This window comes from Homo sapiens, chromosome 8, assembly GCF_000001405.40.
Source record: "Homo sapiens chromosome 8, GRCh38.p14 Primary Assembly".
Lineage (NCBI taxonomy): Eukaryota > Metazoa > Chordata > Mammalia > Primates > Hominidae > Homo > Homo sapiens.
The window spans coordinates 69,665,637-69,688,766 of NC_000008.11; the positions used below are offsets into that span (position 1 = coordinate 69,665,637).

The window sequence follows — 23,130 nt, forward strand, 5'->3', positions numbered from 1 at the left end:
AGATCTACCTATATGCTGAAAGTGTGGGAAATTTAAGAAATTTAACAGAGATCCTTTTGCCTAACTCATGCACACATAATTGAGCAGAAGATGGTAGATTCAGGCAGGGATTACTACTTGCTCTTTGCATAAACGGCTGCCTTGATGAATGTAGAAAGCGATGGGGGGAAGTCAACACTGACACCTATACTCCCCTCCCCCAATAACTCATGTAGCTTAGGCCACTGCGACCCTTTAGGTGAGCAGTGGGATGAGGGAATGAAAAGTGGAAATCAGTTATGCTGCTTCCCACCTACAGAGTGCTCAAGGCAGGATTCTAAATATACTCACGTTGTGCTTCAGTCCGTGAGTTATGACTCCCTTACCTCCTTCCACCTCTCACTCCAAAGTTTTAGATGCCAGTGTGTTTAGAAAACTCTGCCACTAGTCAGGAGAGACCTCTAGATCCAGGGTTTTTTTTCTCCCTAAGTGGATCTGTGCTCAAGTTCTTCTTCTTTCTAACTTAACTTTTAAGTTCAGGAGTACGTGTGCAAGTTTCTTACTCTTGTCTCAGAGCACTGGCTTCTGGGCCACTTTAACAATGAATGATTAGTTTGCTATTCAGTAGCATACTAGGAGACAGGAGGAAGGGAGATTTTCAGTGCTTTGTTGACCAAGTTTTGATATTCATGCCTTTAGAAATTATTCCAGTTTTTGGAATAATGAGTTGGACTTCTTTGGAAATTATTCTTAACCTATCAAAGTCAACCATGTGGCAAAGAATTATACCCACTGAATTCTTACCATTTACTCCTCTATATTTTCAGGACCTCAGGCTCTTAGGCAGAGCCATGAGACTACTTAGGGCCAATGAAATGGGAGAATAGACACATGGCACTTCCAGGCTGAGAAAGAGAAAAGCTCTTTTGCCATTCTCAGGGCATTTCCTTTCTTTGCCCCAGCAACCAATATTAACGATGAAAGTTCCAGGTGGTGCCACTTCAAGATGGTGGAGCCTCTGTCAGCCTGGATCCCTGAAAGACTATGTGGAACAGAGCCATAATAGATATGTAAGTGAATGAGAAACAGACCTGTGTGTTATGAAGCCATTGAGATTTCAGGGTTAATATGTTATTTAAGTATAACTTAACAAATCACATTCAAGGTACATAGCTCTGTGTTCTGAAAGTCTGTTTTGAATTTCAATAAGTAAGTGATGAATTACTTAAAATTATTCTCTTTGGAGACTCAATAAAAAAAAACATGCTATGGCTCTTTAAACTATACTCCTAAAACTTTACACATAGAACATTCTGCTTCAATGTAGAGTTAACAGTTAGGTAAGGAGTTAATGATGTAGGAGGGGTGGACAATCGCATTGGTCTCATTGCTTCATCCCTTCAAACAACAAAGTTCTAGAAACAATTTCATTTCAGTCCAACACACTTTATTCATTTTTAACTTTTTTCTTAATTTTCAATAATCAAGTATTCAAGATGCTGTAAACCAAGATTAGTACATCGACAACAGATTTCATTAAACACACGGAAATTATACATCTTTTAAATTACCTTAAAAAGTCTCCAAATGAATATCATTTTAAAAATCACAAAATCAAACTTCTTTATGCAACAGTGCAAAACCTTTCATCACAAACATACCTCTACACAAAACACACACACACACACACAAACACACACTCCACTAAGAACCTAATGCCAGTTTAGTTGACACAGTATTACATTTCCTTAAACAAAAGAGTCAGAGCCTGACTTGCCTGTTTCAGGATTCTAAATTAACATTTGGGGTTTGGGGTAGAGGTATGTATTTTAAGAAAAATGCCCATTATTTGGTACTACTCTTACCAATTATCAATTACCAATTGCCAATAATCGGTACTAGTCTTACCAATGATTCTTATTTTTCATTTCTAGATACAAACTTTAAACCTCTTTTGTTCACCCCTTTGGTTTAATGTGTCCCTGCAATTACTTTAGTTTCAATAATATTTTCTCCTTCAATTTTAACATGTAGTGATAGGATACCAGAAAAGATAACACCTTCAAAACCCCAGTGTTAAAAATACCTTACATGGGTGTAATCTTTTTGGAGAAGAAATAAGAAAAGGTTACCTGAAATATTTTTTCTACCTTTCTCTGAAATTATTTTTGGCATCTGATTATTCTTGCTAAAATAAATATCAAAAGCACTGAGTATTCCATAGAAAAGTATCCCCCCTTTCACGCTTCATTTTTGCAGCATAGATGGAGTAACTGTTGAAATGAGAGTAATGGATGCTTGTTTTCTGGAAAATTCTTCAGATTTCCAAACACAAAGTACATGCAGCCACTTAGCAGTGAAATACTGTGAATTCAGTGGCGCTTTTTAGTGGTGAACATGCGTCATTAAATACTTTTTAGCACCAAGGCATTTTTTTTAATGTTGCAAAAGCAAACACCTAGGGAGGGTTTTTTGTTTTCTGTTTTTTGTTGTTGTTGTTGTATTTGACCCTTCCTAGAGCTGAGTAAAACTGAAGTCTTTAAAATAAAACCTCCTCAAACATACACAGATCTGATTCTAATGCAACAAGAAGTTTGGGACAGATACAGCCAGCAGCATCCCAAAAGATGAAGAAGAGAAAAAGACAAAAAGATAAAGTGCATGAGGCAACTACCTTTGCCTGCCAGCCGCAGCACTCTCTTATTATGGAAGAGAAAACACAAATGTGTGGAAAGGCTACCTACTGGTCTGTATAACAGAGAACTAGCAAACCTGCAGTTTAGGCAATTCTGGGATTATACAGTATTTTGGTATCTATCTGCTACTTAGAATACTCAGTATGCACCTACATATCAATAGTTATATTCATGTGCTGTGTCATCTCTGATGTTTTAAGTACATACACGATCACAAAATATAATTGGCTACCACCCGAGGCTTGGGCTTGCCTCCTGCTCCTGGGTGCACTAGGGAATTCCCATCAATGCTTCAGCTCCATCCAAACTCTAAAGTTTCTCTTTGGTACATGCACGGTTTCTACAAAACAGGGCCAAAAAGACACTTTCTGGCTCCAAGTGCACCAAAGAGCGCAAGCTGGAATTGTGGACTGAAGAAGAATTTTCTTGGTGGTTGGTGAACATGGAGGACCACCATGACATCCATGAGGCCTTACTCCATGTAACTCCCCCTTCTCTGAAGGCTGACATTTCCAAGTGCATGCCACTAAAGGTAACAATGTCACAGCGACTAAAGGGAACAATCGGGATCAGTGGTTTGATATGTATTTTATGTGTGTTCACTTAAAACCCTTATTAGGAATCTTAAAACTCATATTCATCAAAAAACTAATAGAGATGTTAATATTCTGAAAGAGGAAAATAAAAAAAAATACACTTGAAATCCCTAAAGCTCAGATTCAACAAATCTGAACTACCTTTCTTCATAATGTTTCATTTCAGAAACTCTGCCGAGACCCGATGTTAACACGAAGACTAGATTTGTTCTGTATTAAATATGAACTATAAATAAATATTTGAGGTATGTTATGACAAATAACTTTAATATAACACTTAGCTAAATAAATGTAAATTTACCTTGAAAATCTAGTTAAACATTAAATCTTGATATTTCCTACAGATGTTTCCTACAGTTTTTTTTATTTACACAAAAAAACCTCTCTACTCTTCATAAACGGTAATATATCAAAAAATTGAAATGCTTTAATCTCACGATTTTATAGTCACCTTGCCTTTGTTAACCAAAAGCTATTGTATACATTGCGTAGTGTAAAAAATGAATAATGGAGTGAGAGAAATCTATGTCTGAATCCTGACTTTACCATTCTGTATGATCCTAAATGAGTTATTTTACTTCTCTGAGTCTTGGTTTCATATGTTTTTTAAAAAAATAATAAAATCAGCCGGGCATGGTGGCTCATGCCTGTAATCCCAGCACTTTGAGAGGCCAAGGCAGGTGGATCACTTGAGGTCAGGAGTTCAAGACCAGCCTGGCCAACATGGTGAAACCCTCTCTCTACTAAAAATAGAAAAAAAATAGCTGGGTGTGGTGGCACACACCTTAATCCCAGTTCCTCAGGAGACTGAAACAGGAGAATCACTTGAACCCAGGAAGCGGAGGTTGCAGTGAGCTGAGATTAAGCCACTGCACTCCAGCCTGGGTGACAGAGCAAGACTCTGTCTCAAAAAAAAAAAAAGAATCAAATCTTTGCAAGGTAATTAAGAGGATCAAAATGAATGATGATGTATATTAAGTGCTTGTCAAAATGCTCTACAAATCGTCAACACTCAACAAATGCTAATTTTTTTCCTCTCTGTTCCTCCTTTCTCTCCATCCCCAACACCTTGACTCTGAATTACTTTTGAATATTTTCAAGAATTAAATCCACCTATAAAGAATAAGGACTTAATGCTAATGAAAATAACCAAAGAATGCGCTCCAACCACCCATCTTACCTCCTGGGAGTTTCTAAATTAATAGGATGAACTCAAGGATATTGTATTTGCATATTAAAGCTAAATAATATATGAATTTACAGTTTATAAAGGACAAGATGACCTTTTCCAAAACAAGTAATTTGAAGCCTAAGCTCATGGAGAGTCTTCATTAAAACTTCTAATAGGAGCTGTGACTATAAAGTAATGGGATCAATTTATTAAGAAACATATAAGACCCTATATATACAATTAAATGGTATCATCTACAAAACAGTCACTTCAGTTGGCTATGTAATATTCCAGTGATGCTACCATAGCCCCAAGTATTTTGTGAACCACTCTTAATTGGTACATATTCCAAAGCTTTATTTTCTCATGATTTTTACTACTTAGTCTACATTCACCAACAACACATTAATGAAATACCTGCTATTTATAAGGAGCAGATACTTGAGGAAGTACAATATTAACACTGTGGTGCACATTTCAGGCCCATTTCTTTGAGTTCTGGCCCAATCATCCCAAAGGATTTTATGGAGTGGCAGATGGTAATCAGGTAATATGACACCTGAAGATACCTGGCACCTGATCAGTGATCGCCAAACTGGATGACTGTTCATGGCAGCAAAGGGAGTAAGGGGGCTCTCTAACTACTCCGTGCTGAGTCCAGCAATCTTAGCTACCAGAAAAAGTGCCAATCCCACCAAAATTCTCTCAATGCAGTATCTTAATGATCAGAAGAAAATTAAGAAAACACCACACCTCTCCAATCTACATATCTTTAACTCCCACACCAAAGGAAAATTTCTCCTTTAAAGGATCAGAGCTCTCCCATAGAGGGTAAAGGGGAACCCTGAGGCCCCAAAGGAGACACTAGTTCAATCAGCAAGGTTTTCTTAATCAGCAAGATTTTTTGAATACTTCCAATATATGCCACATTGGCCAGAGTCTGACAATTACCAGTGCAATTACAGTCTTAACCAAGCAAGAATCCTCACCTCCCCGAGAGCCAAGCCCAGGAACCAGAGGGAAGTCCTTAGCCCCTGAGACCACTAGCTCCACCCCTTGTAGACATTGTTCAGTCTAACAGTGTTAACACAAACTGTATGCAACCAAGAGAACTGTTTGACCAATGTCATTCCTAGGAAGAGAGGGAAACAGCCTTATACCCAGGAGTATTTGCACAATTCCACCTGTGCAGTCAAGCAAGGTTGGAGAGCAGAAGCCTGAATCATGGAACAGTCTGTCAATCACATCTCTTCTGGGGATAAGGGTAAACCAGAAGAGAAAAACATTTCCCTAATTAGCCCTCCATGACCATAGGCTCCTTGGCAGAAAAAGTTCACAATTATATCAGCATTTGGCCCTTACACTCCCTGGCAGCCAGAACCCCTGAGCTAACTTGCTGTCAATCCGTTAGCGCCGTCAGGAAGCATCTATCTTAAGAGCCATGTAGAAAGCATTCTCTATGATGCTTACTTCAAAGTGATGTGCTGGGAGGTACTGAAAAGAATGATGGGTAATGAACCCAAAGTGCATTTAGGAACAGAAAAATCCTCTCTCAGAATCACTGCCAGAAACTTACAGTAAGGGGGAATCAAAGGGTAGTGTAAAACGATTCTATCTCTGATAAAGTAGGGTTCTTTCGGATGGACTGGTTTATTTTACATAATTTTCAACAATTACTTAAGATCATATTCTGTTCCAGAACACAGATCTCCCTCCTCCTGTATTCTAAGTGATTTTCATATCCCAGGCACAGATTTCCTGATATAAGTATGCATTTTCAGGAGCAACCACAGCAATTTTCTGTCCAGAAAAAAAGAAAACCACACAGATTTGCCAGTGCTTTCAAGATGTAACTAAAATACTCAGGTGGGACTTTTCCCAGTGACTTTGTGGGCCCGTAGAGCTAAAGAAAATTTCTGCAACAATTTTCTTGGATGAGAAAGCTGTCATTTTCTTTCCCTATTATGCATTTCAAATTACAGTTTCTAGCCATATTGTTTAGCACACTAGTTTTAATGCTCCTTACAAAAGAATACTGGAGTTTATATTTAAGCTATCAGATTTATGATTCAGCAGCCTCTTTATCTTAGGATGGGGCAGGCAGACTGAAAGAGAATGTGTCCTACGACCTGAAGTAGCTGTTCCTTCTATCACACTATGCCTATGGTTCCTCTGAAGCATTTGAAAAACTCTACCTGATTTATAACTGCTATGGCTTAAAATGCTATCAACAGTACTGGATGGAAAGTTCAGCTTCCTCTTTTCAGAAACATATCTGCTTTATTCCGTGAAAGTAAATGTAACATGCTGCACATACATTTTTCCAATCAAATTGCATAGTTGAGACAAATTCATTTGTGCTTTGTAGCAGAACTCACAGTAGGTGTTCATATCTAAAAACTTTGATTTGGAAATGCCAAGTCCTGGGCAAGCTCACCTTTGTTTGGAGTGTTAGTTAATGATATGCACCGCCATTCCCCTTCCCATGGTTTTGCTAACCGTGTACCTCAGCCTGTACCGTAGGGGAGCATGAGCTTTGAATTAACACAACGGAAATGGGAACAAATCTAGCTGAACGTCTCCTTCTTGGAGAGAAGCGGGGAAAGGCTCTCAGTCTTGTTGAGGTATCCAGCCCTCAATGAATAGCGGCTGTGTATACTGAGTTTTGTTGGTTTGAGGATTGTGTCTGTAGAGGTTAAAAAAAAGAAAGAAAGAAAAGAAGGCACAGTTGTTTCTCAAGTCGCCATTTTCAATTCAACCAACAAAACTAAATTCTTCCATTTTCAAGCTTCAGGAGGGCGGCTCCAAGGCAGCGGGGCTCTCTTCCAGCCCCGGGTCCGCAGAGGAACTTATTGCTTCTGGGAAGGGCCCCGGGTAGGTCTGTGCTGCGCACTGGATCCCTTTTTGCAGGCCAGTCTCTTCGTGGAATTCTCCCTGGGTGCTGAAAGCTGGGCAAGATCTAGTCCGGGCATTGTCGGGGTGTCCCACTCTCTCACTCACGGTGCTCAGGGGAAATTCTCTCTGCCTCCGCCTCTGCAGTCCATCCTCCTTGTATTTTATGGAGTACCAGGCCAGAAAAATAAAAATAAACCCAACGAATTTGAGGCCGGCAGCCAAACCAAAATACACAAAACGAAACGACGTCACGTTGTACTCCCAGCAAGAACCCTGCACACCACATTCCTGTTGCCAGAGCATGCAGGTGGTGTCAATGACTGCTCCAAAGTAGATTGGAGTAGGAATGTATGCTAGAGGGGTGGAGAAGAAGAAAATACGAAGACTTAGCACATCTTCCAAGGGAAAACAGGTTTGTAAATTAGCAAGGTACTTGTGTGCTCTAAAACCAGTTGAGGGGAGGGATTTTCTTGTGTTACCAGATTTTTTTTAAGACGCATCATATTTTATCACAATATATTTATCATAAAAGCATTCACTATATGATAAACACTTAAAGTCGAGTTAGCCACCCAGAATGCGCTGTTGATTTTTAGGATCAAATCAACATGTTGTACCCTTTAAATATATACAATTGTATTTGTCAAGTATACCTCAATAAAGCTGAAAAAAGGGGTATTGCTAAAAATACAATTAGAGAATCCTTTTAATCTTAAAAATTGGATTTTGTCATTAAGTATTCAACAGGCTATACTAGAACCCTTTATTACCCACCAAAATTCGATACGCTTAGTTCTTGTGGGTTGGGCTTTAGTCCTTGGATGCAGGAAAAGTACGAGAAAAGCAGCATCTCCTATGAGTCAGAAACCACATAACATGGCAACTTTGTAAAAGCACTTATAAATCTAAGAAATTATATATATGAAGGAACTTTATTATGGCATAAATTTCATCTTTGAAGTTTGTGAAACATCTGAGATGAATAGTAGCTTCGTTGTCTGGGCTATGACATAGACATTTCCTTAATCCAATGAGAAAAAAAGTCTACCTAGTACATAGACTCCTGTGTCACATGCTACTCCCTTTACCAAAATGTTCCCCCAACTCATTCACTTTGCAAATATCTATGCCCCCTTTAAATTCCTGACTTACTCAGATGCCATCATATTCTCACTGCATTTTGGATCTACCTCCATTTTATTAACTATCACATAGCATTTTAAATGTTTACAAATTTGTCACTCCATAAGCTTCTTCAAGGCAGGGGCCACGCCTTTTATTCTTTGCATCCCAAAGACCTCAATAAAAATTTATGGAAGATAGCAATGGGAGGGAGGAGGGAGGAAGGAATAAAAGAGAGAAAGGAGGAAGGGAGCCAGGAAGACAGAAAGGAAGGCAGAGAGGATAGGCAGGCTGATAACCCAGGAAGCTGTGAGTGATACGTTTTAAATAAGTTGTTTTTATTTAAAATAAAGTCTATTGGTTTAATTTTAATATTATTAAAGTTTTTAAAACTCTTTTTCTGCTTCAGAATTTGGGGGGAAATGAAAATTGGCTTGTTGGCCCAACTAGACTTTTTCACAATCCATAGAAGTTAAAATAAAGTTGAATTAAATAATAAATGTCTGAAATGTTCTCCCTCCACTTATTCTTGATGCTGTAGCATACATCTGTTGACTCACCTTTACCTCCAAATCATATCAAATGACCCCAACTCCACGGCATCAGAGAGGGGCAAAGCAAAAAGAAGAAATTATCTTTTTCTGGCCAGGCATTGTGGCTCACATCTGTAATCCCAGAACTTTGGGAGGCCAAAGCGGGTGGATCACCTGAGGTCAAGAGCTCAAGACCAGCCTGGCCAACATGGTGAAACCCCATCTCTACTAAAAAAAAAAACAAAAAAAAAAAATGCAAAAATTAGCCAGGCATGGTGGCAAGTGCCTGTAATCCCACTTACTTGGGAGGCTGAGGCAGGAGAAACACTTGAACCCTAGAGGCAGAGGTTGCAGAGAACTGAGATTGTGCCACTGCCCTCCAGCCTGGGCAACAGAGCAAGACTCTGTCTCCAAAAAAAAAATACATATATATATACATATATATTTCTTTTCTTATTCAATTACCCCTTTGGTTAACAAATCTCCTTATTTCTAAATGTTATTTCTAAATAATACTGTTTAACTTTTAACAAGATCTATAAGACTGACTTTTTTTTTTTTTTCAGACAGAGTTCTGCTCTTGTTGCCCAGGCTGGAGTACAGTGGCTCCATCTCGGCTCACTGCAACCTCCGCCTCCCAGGTTCAAGCAATTCCCCTGCCTTAGCCTCCTGAGTAGTTGGGATTACAGGTAGGCACCACCACACCCAGCTAATTTCTTTGTATTTTTAGTAGAGATGGGGTTTCGTCACGTTGGCCAGGCTGGTCTCGAACTCCTGACCTCAGGTGATCCACTCACCTCGGCCTCCCAAAGTGCAGGGATTAAAGCATTAGCCACTGCACCCGGCCTAAGGCAGACTTCTTCACTATATCTAAGTGTGTCAGGATTTCCTTTAAACAGCATGTTTTTTAAAAAATGATAGCCTCAGAGTCTTATTAGTACTGAAAAAAACAAGCCACTCATTAAATGGAACTAGAAGCATTTTCCTCCTGGGGCTTATTGAAAATGCTCATTCTTGGACTGGGCCATCAACCACAACATATGACAAATGGAGAATGCCAGGGGATTCATGCTTCAGGGGGTCAGAAGATGCCCTTTTTAAACATTACCTCTTCAAAACTGAAATAAGAAATTTGAATCAAAAAGCAATTTTTTTGTCTTGTAGACAATGACACTGATTACTGAGGAGAAAATAACAGCTGAAGGAAATGACAGACTGCCACTTGAGAAAAAGACATTATAAAAGGAAAAATAAGCTTGATGACAAAGACGTCAATTTAAAATACATTGAAACTGATCAAAGGAATGTTGTATGTTACATGCTTATTTCCCATTGTCTCAAGAACTCACAGAGGGATGTGGTGTTTGTAAAAATAAGACCTATGTTCCACCCGTACAAATGTACTCTGTGGTTTATCACATGGACACAGCACTACTGAGCTTCTCTTGTTGATAAGTAAATACTTACAAGGCAGTCCCTATATGTCACTTTGGAGACCTTTCTTTTCCTTTTTAAAGTTTTTTCTTTTTCTCAGAAAACTTGATAGGTATACTCTTTGTTTAGTCCAATAAAATTACTGTAAAGAAGTGAGGCATTGAAAACTTCACAAATAAAGACCAATTTCTACTGCTTTCATAGTAAAAAGGCATAAAGGGGTCAAAATGCTAGGATTACAAATTCTTCACAAATTGCTTGATTTCCTATTTCTTACTGTGCAAAATTCTGGGGAATTTTGTCCAAGTTTATGTTCATAATGAAAAAGAAACTAACCTAACGTTGGTTTTGTTTTGTTTCATCAAACAACAGAACCTGTCAGCTTCTAGTTCAAATCAGAAAACAAGGAAGTTGTACCCTCACCACTAGCCTGTAAAATCTTATTCATGGTAATAAATGACATGACTTGCCATTTTTAAAGGACAGTGAAAATTTGCCATCTGCAAAGAGGAACTAAGAGGTACACTTGGAAATTCAGGGACGTACCAAGTGTTCGCAACAAAACAAACTGCATTCCCAGTGCAAAAGGTCTCTCCTCATCTTCTACGGACCTACAGTGAAGGGAAAGAAGGAAATGCATTTTAAATAGTAGCCCCAAGAAAATGAATGTCAAATCAAGTCGGCTTTGTGCAGAGCCAGGGACTAAAGATGCCATGCCAAAATATTTAATTCACTATTATTTACTAACAATAGCCACACAAGATTGCTGGTGGCTAAATCCCTGAATAAAGGTTTTCCCAATGTAGACATCAAAGAAACTCTGACTATCTCTAATTGTTTCTACAAAAATACTGGTAGAGGGTTAAAGGCTTTTGGCTGAAGAAGCTGGAATGCCTCTAACTGAGCTTCCAAAATCAGATCCATTTTTTTTTAATTATAGAATTTCATCTTAAATACTGCACGGTTTTTTTGTTTTTGTTTTTGTTTTTGTTTTTTTGCCTGTGTGCCTGCATCTTCCAGAGTGGTAGATGCATACATTGAAAATTACTCCAATAATTCTTCCAAAACAGGAAGAAAGAAGAGTAAAGAATAAAAGTATATTCAAAAAATGTATAGGAAACAAGTCAAAGATCAGAGGAAGCATAAGCCCTCCAACCACATCTTTTTTTCTTTTTTAAAAACTTATACTCCAAGTTATTCCCATGTGACAGGAAGATTGGAGTCAACTGGTTCTGTAATTAGCAAAGATTAAAGGGCTCCTTTTCTGAAATTTTAGGTTAGAAGCCAACTGGCGATTTGCCATTTATGAACACCAAAAGAAAAAGTAGCCAATGGGTTATTTAACATCTCTTGAGGAATTAAAGTGCAAAGAATAAGATTATTTGAGTAAATTTATGAATGATTCATGTCTTTTTAATGCTGCAGTACCTTAACCTCTCCATCACATACCCATGAGAGTATGGTATATAATAGGAACTTTCCCAAGACCAGTGCCCTTGTCACCTTTTCCCCAATTTCTTTATTTCTCAGAGCAATTTGCAAAGTGCTGCACACAGGTTGTTATTCCATAAATATCTGCTGCTGGAAGAACTGAGTAAACAAACCAGTGGGCCTTTCATGCACTACTATCTGGCTGTCAAGGAACAGCTTTGCTGGGAAATGCCTGATTCAGCACCAAGTGGGAAGGAAGCCAGAATACATCTGGTGCAGCCAACTGCCCTTGCTAAGCAATGACATCTCAGCAGGTGCTTCCTGCAAGGTGCCCAGCATTGTGGCATCTGAGGAGCCTGGAGAAAGAGTAAGAACTGACTCCCTTTCTTCATTCCTTCCCTGCACTGCACCCCCTAATCCCCCCTAATCCCCTTCCCTGCACTGCACCCCCTAATCTGGGCAGAAGCTGCCCAGACCCATGGGTGAGCTCTTCTGGCTTCACCACGCTGCCCAGTTCCTTTGTCCACTGCAGTCCTTACTGTAAATATCAACACACCGATGTGAATGTATCAGCGTGGCAGGCCTCCATAACAACTGTTTCAGTACAGACTGAGTGTTTAAGTTAAATATTAAAAGCCAGTGCCCTTATACAAATGCTGGAATGTAACAAAAGTCCACCAAGAATTTTGCCTAAGTCTTTCCTGGGCCTTAAAGCACGACAAAATAATGAACAAATTCTTAACAGGATCCATTTAGGATTAAACAAGTTTTATTGGGGGTCTGAAAAAACTCCCTAGGCCTCCATAAACAGGTTTATTGGGGGTCTGAAGGAACTCCCCAAACCTCCGTGATTTAGCAGGAGACAAGATAAGGGTAATCACCCCAGCACCTGGACCCATTTAGATTAAGTAAACTTACTGAGGCTCCAGAAGAAGGTCTTCAAGATTCAGATCTTAGTTATAAATTAAAAGAAATTAATCACTTATGTCTTTAGATGAATGCACACTTACACGTAGACAGATAGCTTAGAATGTATATAAGCTCTAATAAACTTTGTAATTTTGAGTTGGTCTGGTGTTTATTTCCAGGCCTTCTCCCTGTAACTGGTTACAGAAATAAAAACCCTCTTCCTCCCCTGTTCATCTGTATCACGTTATTGCAGTGCAAAAAAATAGCAGCCCGACCATCATTTTGGTCCAGGAACACCAGTGCCAACATTTTTAATAGGACAAAAGTAGCTTCCATGTCCTCTTATAAACAAAAAATCCAAACAAGATATGGCAAAGAAAGCACAGCCTGAAAAACTGAAAAAAAAAAAAAGGGAGAAATCACATTCCCCAATATGCCCTTTTCTTGACTCAACTCTGAAATTTTATATGATAGTAAAATTAATGAACTCAGCATTTCAAATTGCAGGCCCAGCATAAATCACCACTGATCCTGAAGGCAGTAACTATCTATAAGGTTGAAGATAATAGCCTTTGCTGTATGCACGATTTAGCAACTTTCTCAAATTACTTCCTGCCCTCCTCTGGGGTCCAGCTTCTCACAGCTGACAGAGTGATGACTTTCAACTCCTGAAGTTGAACCTCGTAGGGCAGAGACTTCAGGAATCAAAAACATCAAAAGACGTTTCATTATACAGTAAGAATATAACCCAACTGAATAAAGAACTTTCCAAAGTATGAAATGTTACAACCTTTCTTTCCCTTCCCAACAGGGAAAAATCCCTCCTAAGTTCACCAGGCAAATATCTGAGCGCCCTCCTGCACATGCTAATTTTGCTTTGCTCTCTGATTTACCACATAAGCCCCTTGTCCTGGATTATGTGCTCTGGAAATTATAAGTACAGAACCCACCCCAGAAGTTGAATGCTGTTCTCACCTGAGTGTTACTATGATAGCTGATGGTTGGGCACATGCTGTGATGAAGGTGACTATGAAAAGAAAAACTAAGAATGGGATAAGAGTATTGCAGGTCCGTTTACATTTCCCAGACACAGCATAGCCGTTCTCATTGAGATAAGTCTTGACAATAACCACACGGAGCTGACTTCGCTGTCCCACGGTGGGTGGAGTGATCACTTGGCGACTTTGGACACAGGTGCATTCTGTATAATTCCGTATCTAAGTGAGCAAAATAAAGATGAGTTGTGTGCCCCTCAAAAGCTAACTGTGGCATAAGAATATTAAGACAAAGTTAAGTAAAAGTACTCTAAAATAGCTCAAATATTTTTTCAAACACAAAATATTTCATTGAAAGTACCTTCCTCATTGGTAACAGTAAGGATCTCAAGTGTGTGTCTAACAGAATCAAAGTCTGCTGGTCAAAATTGTTTAAACCTAAACTTTTCTAAGAAGCTTTCAACATTCAATACCATTCACGTTCTGCAGGCTCATTTTTGTCATCATTATATTCTGCCTCCATTGCTGTTAACTCTTGGGCTCTCCAATTAGAGAAGCCCCTCAAAAAACAGATCCAAACCTTATTTTTCTTTGTGCTCACAGAGCACCTAGCACAACTCTGGGCACACAGTGGGCCCTAAAGTAAACATCTATTAAATGCAGAGAATTTATAGTGCAATCGTGATGACTTTAGCGCCAATAATAGTGAACATCTCATTGGTGTTCCGTTTTCTTTTCTTTTTCAACTTTTATTTTAGATGCAGGGAGTACATGTGCAGGTTTGTTACACGGGTCTATTGTGTGATGCTGAGGTTTGGTGTACAGATGATCCCATCACCCAAATCATGAGCATAGTTCCCAACAGGTAGTTTTTCACACCTCCCTCCCCATCTCCACCCTCTAGTAGTCTCCAGTGTCTATTGTTTCCATTTTTGTGTCCATGAGTACCCAATGTTTAGCTCCCACTTATAAGTGAGAACATGCGGTATTTGGTTTTCTAATCCTGCATTAATTCACTTAGGATAATGGCCTCCAGCTGCATCCATGTTGCTGCCAAGGTCATGATTTTATTCTTTTTTATGGCTGTGTAGTACTCCATGGTGTATATTATCACATTTTCTTTATGGAATTCATCACTGATGAGCACCTAGCTTGATTCCATGTCTTTACTATTGTGAACAGTGCTGCGATGAACATACAAGTGCATGTGTCTTTCTGGTAGAACAATTTGTTTTCTTTTGGATACATACACAGGAATGAGATTGCTGGGTTGAGTGGTCGTTTTAAGTTCTTTGAGAAATCTCCAAACTGCTTTCCACGGTGTCTAAGTTAATATACATTCTGGTGCTTCCATTTTTAAACATCTTTGAAGTCCCTTTAGTTAGCTGGTGCCCTACACCCTATAGAAGAGCAACCAGCTCCATGGATGTAACTTGGCTACTACAGCCCCCACCCAGTACTGCTCCTGGACTGTGACAGAGTCAGACTAAATGGACATCAGCTGGCCTTCATTGCAACCTTTGAATACTTGAAGCAGTCATAAGAAAAAGTATGAAGATGGGGCACTGTTTGGCTGTCATGCTCAAAAGACTGCTGGCATATTTTAAAGGATGAACACTCACTCTCAAGAAAGGACTTCGCCACCAAGAGAACAGATCTCACCCTTTCAACATGGCGACACAGTGGAGTTCACCAATTATATAATGGGGAACAAACAACAGGAATTCTCAATTTATCATTGCAGTTTAAAACTCAGACATCAAAAACAATATCCCCAAAACATTCAGTGGATGGTATAATCCCTTATCACCTGCACAGAACAAGCACATGCATTTTAACCTTTTAGTGAAAGCAACTTCGTACAATCTGTTCTTCACAAAGAATCAAACTGGGCTCAATAAGTAACTGTGTAGAGGCCGGGCACAGTGGCTCACACCTGTAATCCCAGCACTTTGGAAGGCCAAGGCAGGCAGATCACCTGAGGTCGGGAGTTCGAAACCAGCCTGACCAACATGGAGAAACCCCGTCTCTACTAAAAATACAAAATTAGCCAGGCATGGTGGCACATGCCTATAATCCCAACTACTAGGGAGGCTGAGGCAGGAGAATCACTTCAACCTGGGAGGCGGAGGTTGAGGTGAGCCGAGATCATGCCATTGCACTCCAGCCTGGGCAACAAGAGCAAAACTCCATCTCAAAAAAAAGAAACAGTAGAATATGAAAACCTTCTCCCACAGTATTACAGCCCATTTATAATTTACAGGAAAGGGAATTCTCAAAATAGCCTATTCTTGAACTGTCAGAAATATCTTTACTTTGAAAGTTTTTTTTTAAGCCGGAACTGAACTGATATAGTCTATGAAAAATGGCCATCACCCATCTTCACAGACTCCAGTCAGGGGAGGTGCTTTCCTATACTTTTTTATCAGCACCAAATGTGGTCATCTTGACCTTCAAATCCATCACAAGGGCCCTGTCAGAGAAACAAATGGCAGGCCTAGAGCTCAACCTTATCAAGTTTCACTGACTTGGCGCAGAATATAAAGTAGGAGAAGGCTGATATGGAACAAAATCCCTGCACCCAAATGTTCCAGTCATCCCTGGAAAAAAAAATAATAGCAATGCATAATTTTCTTTCCTCTAGGTTTTCATCAGAGGTATTTTGTAGGTTACTTGGAGCCTCTTGAAAAGAAAGACTGAAGTCATTGTAGCTGCATAGGAATTTCATCACATCCTTGTCACAGGATGTTGGACTAACAGAAGAGGAACTTGTGAAATATACTCACCCCAGTGCTAAGATTACCACTATTAACACAGCCAGCCAGACAAGGGTTAAAGTATGTAATTCCATCTGATCCACAGACTGGCTCATACTCGTGTATTTTACAACCACAATTAACGTTGCAGCTTCCTGTCAGATTCCTATGGGGCATGGTGAGAGAAGGTCTAAGAGAGAAGAGAAGCAGATCATGAGCAACACTTACCAAAATAAAACTCATAGGAAAGGTCTTGAAATTAATAATTTGTCCATTTTAGAGAAAATATTCTTCCCATTGAATCAAAGCCATGATACCCAAAGTAGTCATCCTCAACAATTATTTTGTGACTTTAAAACAAAACATAAAGAAAAATGTTTCAACTTACTGGTATTACAGATTCAATGCTTTTTATCAAATTACTGCCCCACATCAATTTCACCCTCCCTCTTGGTGCTATGAACCTGGTCTCAACATCTGGGCTCTGCAATTCCAACCCTAATATAACTACTCACTTACTGTAGGCGCCAGGCTCTACATCTTAACAAATCTGTACCTCAATTTCTTTATAAAATGGAGAAAATACTTTTTAGTATTGAATCAATAACATCACTGTGAGCACATGATCACTGTTAAAATCCATCTATCCCAGTTATTAATATACGTTCCTTCGACCAAAAACTTGTATTCTAGAATAAATTATCAAAGAAAGGCATTGGGGCTCTAGACAATCAAAATGAAGTATTTTCAAAGATGATTAGGAATCACATTGCTAGTTTGATTTAAACAACCAGAGAATAAAGATTAAGCAGTTCTTCACTCAGGATTGCCCCGGTGTGGATCCACAATCAAATATGGTGGGTTTCTTTTCTTGAGATCATGGTGTCTGATACAAAGAAATGATACCATATGAAAGGCTTGAAGAAAATAAATTCAGGCAACAAATATAGAGGGAAGGAAAGGCAGGTAAGGATATAGGCCTGGGGAGAAGAGTGTAAACAAACAGCGGTGGAAGAGCAGAGGAGCACCTGGGGGATCCACAGGAAAAGGAAAGGCGCTCTGTACTGCTCGTACCCCATGACCGCTTTTGCTTTTGTGACCACCAGTTTTGTGTATCACTGATGAAATGTTGTTCCCAAGACTAGATGAGTTAGCAATAGCAGATCCTTCATCCAACCATCCATTTTTCCAGTATCTACCCATTTAACAAATATTTTGGAATGTCTGTTACGTACCAGGTCTTATCTTTTTTGAAATAGATTTAGAGGGGGTGAAAGAACAGTTTTGTCATGTGGATATATTGTGTAGTAGCGAAGTTTGGGCTTTTAGTGAACCCATCACCTGACTGATGTACATTGCACTCAATAGGTAATTTCTCGCCCCTCAACTCCCTCCCTCGCCACCAAGACTTATCTTTTTTTTTTTTTGAGAAGGAGTCTCACTCTGTCGCCCAGGCTGGAGTGCAGTGGCGTGATCTCCACTCACTGCACCCTCCACCTCCCAGGTTCAAGCAATTCGCCTGCCTCAGCCTCCCGAGTGGCTGGGATTACAGGCACCTGCCACCATGCCCGGCTAATTTTTGTATTTTCAGTAGAGATGGGGTTTCACCATGTTGGCCAGGCTGGTCTCGAACTCCTAACCTCGTGATCCACTCCCCCTTGGCCTCCCAAAGTGCTAGGATTACAAGCGTGAGCAACCATGCCTGGCCAAGACTTATCTTTAATGACTATGCTGGTACCACTTATACAGTAGCATAGCCCATCCCAATCATGCGTGTTAATTGGTGTTTGTTCAAAGGTTTTTCTCCTGTGGCCTCTTTCAAACTTTGATAATGAGTCCTTAAATTTTAATGGGGGAAACAAATTCAAAACAATATTAAAGTCTTATCAAGAAATCCTCCTAACAATGCAAAAGGCAAATAAATTCTGTTTTTCATTCATGTCGCTCCATAGAAAAAAAGTATGACAAGACTCTAATAATCATTACATTCACAAACTCCTAGTGTCATATCATCTTAAAGTTTGTATATACCTAAAAAAATATTATTCTAGACTAGTGGGTCTCCACTGGGTCAATTTTGCCCCCCCAGGGGACCTTTGGCAACGTCAGGAGACAATTTTAGTTCTCACAACTGAGGGGGTGCTACGGGCATCTAATGGGCCAGTAGTTCCTACTGAGGTAGGAGATCAGCGGGACCTGCTTTCTGAGCCCTGGTCACAACCCTGCTGATCAAAACAGGATGTAGCAAAGAAACTGGCCAAATCCAGGAGAACCAAGATGGCAACCAAAGCGACCTCTAGTTGCTTTGCTAATTATATGCTAATTATAATACATTTGCATAAGACACTCCCACCACCACCATGGCAGTTTATAAATGATGCCATGGCAAATGGCCCAAAAGTTACCTTATATGGTTCTGGGAACTCTCTGCCCCTTTTCCAGAAAGTTTGTGAATAACCTGCCCCTTATTTTGTATATAATTAATAGTGGGTATAAATATAGCCAGCCAGCAATCCACAAGTGCTTCTCTGGGCCACTCCACCTATGCTCTATGAAGGAGCCATTTTGCTGTACACTGCTTCTCTAATAAACTTGTTTTCTTTCACTGCCAGCTTGCTCTTGAATTCTTTCCTGTGCAAAGCCAAGAACTCCTCCTAGCTGAGACCCAATTTTGAGGTTTTGCCTGCATCACTACAATGCACAGGAAGGCCCCCACCACCTCCCATTATAAGGAATTATCTGGCCCAAATGTCAATAGTGCTGAGGATGAGACACTCTGTTCTAGACCAACTTTCACACTGTTCAAGGAGGCAAAAAGCTTTCCTGAGTTTAGGAAACGAGCACAGACCCAGGTCACCCTGGGGTATGTTTGCTTTTCTTATGAGATCATGGTGTCTGATACAAATAAATGCTATGAAATGAAAGGCTCTAAGAAAATCAATACATGCAACAAATATAAATAGCAATGAAAGGAAGTGGGCATTCATGAAAAAGTTATTAGGAGAGAAGGTGATCATGGTACACACACAAAAAGCTGCTGACGTGGTTCATCCTTTACACTGTGCTGAAAATCATTTTTAAGAATAATCATGTCCTGTCTGATTGTCATTCACTCTCCAGAAAACATACTGGATTCTAATAATAGCACAAATGTTTAAACCTGAGTAACACTAAGCAATCTCTCATTAGCCTGAAGAGAACCCATCATGAGAGCACAAAATGCACAAGGACTATTTACTGAAGGCTGCCCTCATCCTTGTGCAAAAGGACTGTGCAGCACCTTCCCAACAAACAAAAAGCATTTCTGGCAAGACATAAAATGCACAAGGGCTTCTTACTGAAGGTAGTCCTCCAGATAAGAGAATCGTGTTAACTCAAGAATCAATGTAAGTGTTAATTTTGAGTGAGGCACGGGGCCTCGATAGCAATACCTTATAACTGGGTGGTCCACAATGTAAGCCTGAGAGTCACACATTTCATCTTACTATAAAAATCATGGAATTACAGAGCTAGAGAGATGGAGGGATCTCTGAGATTATCTGGCAAATTTGCTAACTTTAAAGAATGGGAAACTATAAGAGGTATCATGGCAAGCCCCACAATCATTGAGGCCTCAAGAAAACCAGCCCTGGGGAGACAGCAAAAGAGAAAACAAGTAAAAACAACAACCTTGTTATCCAATCTTTGTGAAATCAATCACTCAGGGATCGATGCTTATGTAAAGTAATATATAACAGCAAGACAGATGATTGTTAAACATAATTCAAACACTTTCTGCTATAGGGTCATTACAGCTAAGTATGTAAGAACACAGTGGCCCTCAAAAATCACATTCACACCACAGCAATTGTGTCCCATCACCCTACCCCAAGATCTAAAGAACACTTCAACTTCCCCATCTAAACATACTTCTACTACATACTTCTACTGGTCTCTGTAAATCAAAGAGAAGTCCCCTAACTTTTTTAAGGGACTTCTGCCTCCTTTTGAGTTCCTCTCTATTAAAAGATGTGACAAGTAGAAATCCATACATACTATGCTCATGCCACGTGGACTAAAAGAACATGCTTCACACAGCAAAAAAAAGAGAGAGAAGACCTCTTTAGCAAAATATACTAATAAACTAGAACAGTATCTTTCTCATAATTTCTTAATCTTCATCAATTTATCTCAGTCTTCAAGAAGACTTCAATGAGAATGTTTCTTTTCAATGCCACTTAAATTTTTGGCTTCATATGAGAACCCTTCTTTGGCTATACAGAGCTATGCAACTTCAGGTTTATAAATATTATTATCATCGTCATAATCATCATTATCATTTAAAACTAACATCAGCAGAACCCTATTTTTGTTCCATGTATTGCACCCTGAGATCTCAGCATAAGTTGTCTCATTCATTCCCCATGAGAATTGTCATTATTATTGCCACACTTCCATCTTTCAGACGAAGAAATTGAAGATTTGAGAGGATAGGCACTGCCAAAGTCACACAGCTAGTAAGGGTCAGAAATGGATTTAAACCCAATTTTATCTTTCACCACAGTGTGCATCTGTAAGCCCCAACACTGGCAGGGAAGCTTTGTGTAACTGTCCCTAGTTTTACTCCTCTAGCACAGGTCTTCTGGGTGGCTTATTTCGCTTTCTTCTTCCTGGAGAAAGCTCTAATGCAGTTTTTCTCGCACTCTGCTTTCAGTGTTCCTGAGTGTGAGTCGGAAAGAGCTGGGTTCAATTTCATATCCACAATTCACAAGTGCTGTGAATTTCAGATTTTATATTTGTAAACAGTTATCAAAATGTCAGTATCACACAGTCGTTGTGGGGGATTAGGCGGGTGAATGTATGGCCAGTGTCCAGCATTGTGCCTGGGACATAACACGCGCTAAGATATTGGTATCTTTCCGCACTTAACAGAAGCATGAATGAATAGCAGTAACACAATCACAAACGTGAGGAGTGCAAAAGGCTACCATGACATTTTTCCTTTCAAAAAGGATAAAATAGCTTTTAAATTTACTCCTACAGAGAATGGTGGGAAAAGAACTAGATGGAGATCTAGTTTCAGGCCTGCCATTTAGTAGCTATGTGACCTTGGGCCAAATCTTTTCGTCTATGGCTATTAAATACCCCTCCTGACTACACGAAGGAGAGTAAGACTAATCAACAAAGCGCAGTATGTCATAGCATATGTGCTAGCATAGGTTTAGAAGAGGACTATATTCAAGGAAATTGTGATTACTGCGTCTAATTGTTATTTTTATCATTAAAGCTCCCTTCAGCTTTGTAGACAAGAAATTTAAATCAGGTGTAACTTGAAACTTACATGTAATAACCCACAATATGTACAAACTATCTCTTTAAGTCCAAAATCATTTCAAATAAAATAATGTGTCACTTATATGGCTTTTCAAAATATCTTTATTTATTATTAAAGTAATACATACTCATTGTAGAAATTTTTTAAAATACACAAAGACAAAAAAATTAAACTCATGCATAGTGCTAACACCCAGCGATATCCACTTTTAATGCTTTTAGTATATTTTGTTCTGGTCTTTTCTCAATGTACGTATAGATTAACATTAATAACATATTGCTACCAAGATTGTATGTAAAGTTTTAAATTCTGTTTTGTCTCCTCCTAACATTACATTATATTGTTATGTTAATATGTTAATATAACATATTTTAACATATATATAATTTTAACATATACATAATCATAATATAACATAACATATGTTAATATAAGGGTATAGAAAGGTAAACTTGGTCCTAAGTTTAATGATACTCATAGGCATTTTTGAAATAAAAACTTATCATGTTTTAAGGGTATATATCTTAAAACATGATACCTTACAGACTTCATGTTGATTTGTTTAGATCTTGGTTACAAAATTTCAAACTTGGCAGAAAGAAAATTTGCTTATAGTTTTTATCCCCCTGATACTCCTAAAACGAAGTAAAACAAACATTGTGTCTCCAAATAGAGCCAAAAAAAAGACGAACTCATATATTTACATCTAGAAATGAACTCTAAGACTATAAATAGAAGGAGCTAGGATAATCCAAAAACATGTATGTCTATGCTCTTTTAAGCAAACTTCTTTCCCCTCTAATTCTCAGAAACTTCCGTTAAAATTAGTAATATCTACAATAAATGATTTTGAATGGTGCTAAAATTTTTTTTTTATTATTATTATACTTTAAGTTTTAGGGTACATGTGCACAATGTGCAGGTTAGTTACATATGTATACATGTGCCATGCTGGTGTGCTGCACCCATTAACTCGTCATTTAGCATTAGGTATATCTCCCAATGCTATCCCTCCCCGCTCCCCCCACCCCACAACAGGCCCCAGAGTGTGATGTTCCCCTTCCTGTGTCCATGTGTTCTCATTGTTCAATTCCCATCTATGAGTGAGAACATGCGGTGTTTGGTTTTTTTGTCCTTGCGATAGTTTACTGAGAATGATGATTTCCAATTTCATCCATGTCCCTACAAAGGACATGAACTCATCATTTTTTATGGCTGTACAGTATTCCATGGTGTATATGTGCCACATTTTCTTAATCCAGTCTATCATTGTTGGACATTTGGGTTGGTTCCAAGTCT

At 39.0% G+C, this 23,130-nt stretch overlaps 1 protein-coding gene across 3 annotated transcripts in view; it reads right to left on the reverse strand.

Annotated features, from left to right (window-relative positions):
- Nucleotides 1–1,409: 1,409 nt before the first annotated feature.
- The window catches only part of SLCO5A1 (solute carrier organic anion transporter family member 5A1), a 167,933-nt gene continuing 146,212 nt past the window's right edge, over nucleotides 1,410–23,130 (reverse strand). The window contains exons 7-10 of one of the 3 annotated variants that reach the window (NM_030958.3): nucleotides 16,548–16,707; nucleotides 13,742–13,983; nucleotides 10,973–11,037; nucleotides 1,410–7,690 (exon numbers count right to left, since the gene is read on the reverse strand). In NM_030958.3, the coding sequence (NP_112220.2) occupies nucleotides 7,233–7,690; nucleotides 10,973–11,037; nucleotides 13,742–13,983; nucleotides 16,548–16,707 (925 nt within the window). In that variant the 3' untranslated portion in view covers nucleotides 1,410–7,232. The remainder of the gene's footprint in view (nucleotides 7,691–10,972; nucleotides 11,038–13,741; nucleotides 13,984–16,547; nucleotides 16,708–23,130) is intronic. The other 2 variants (NM_001146009.1, NM_001146008.2) reach the window with 2 other exon arrangements.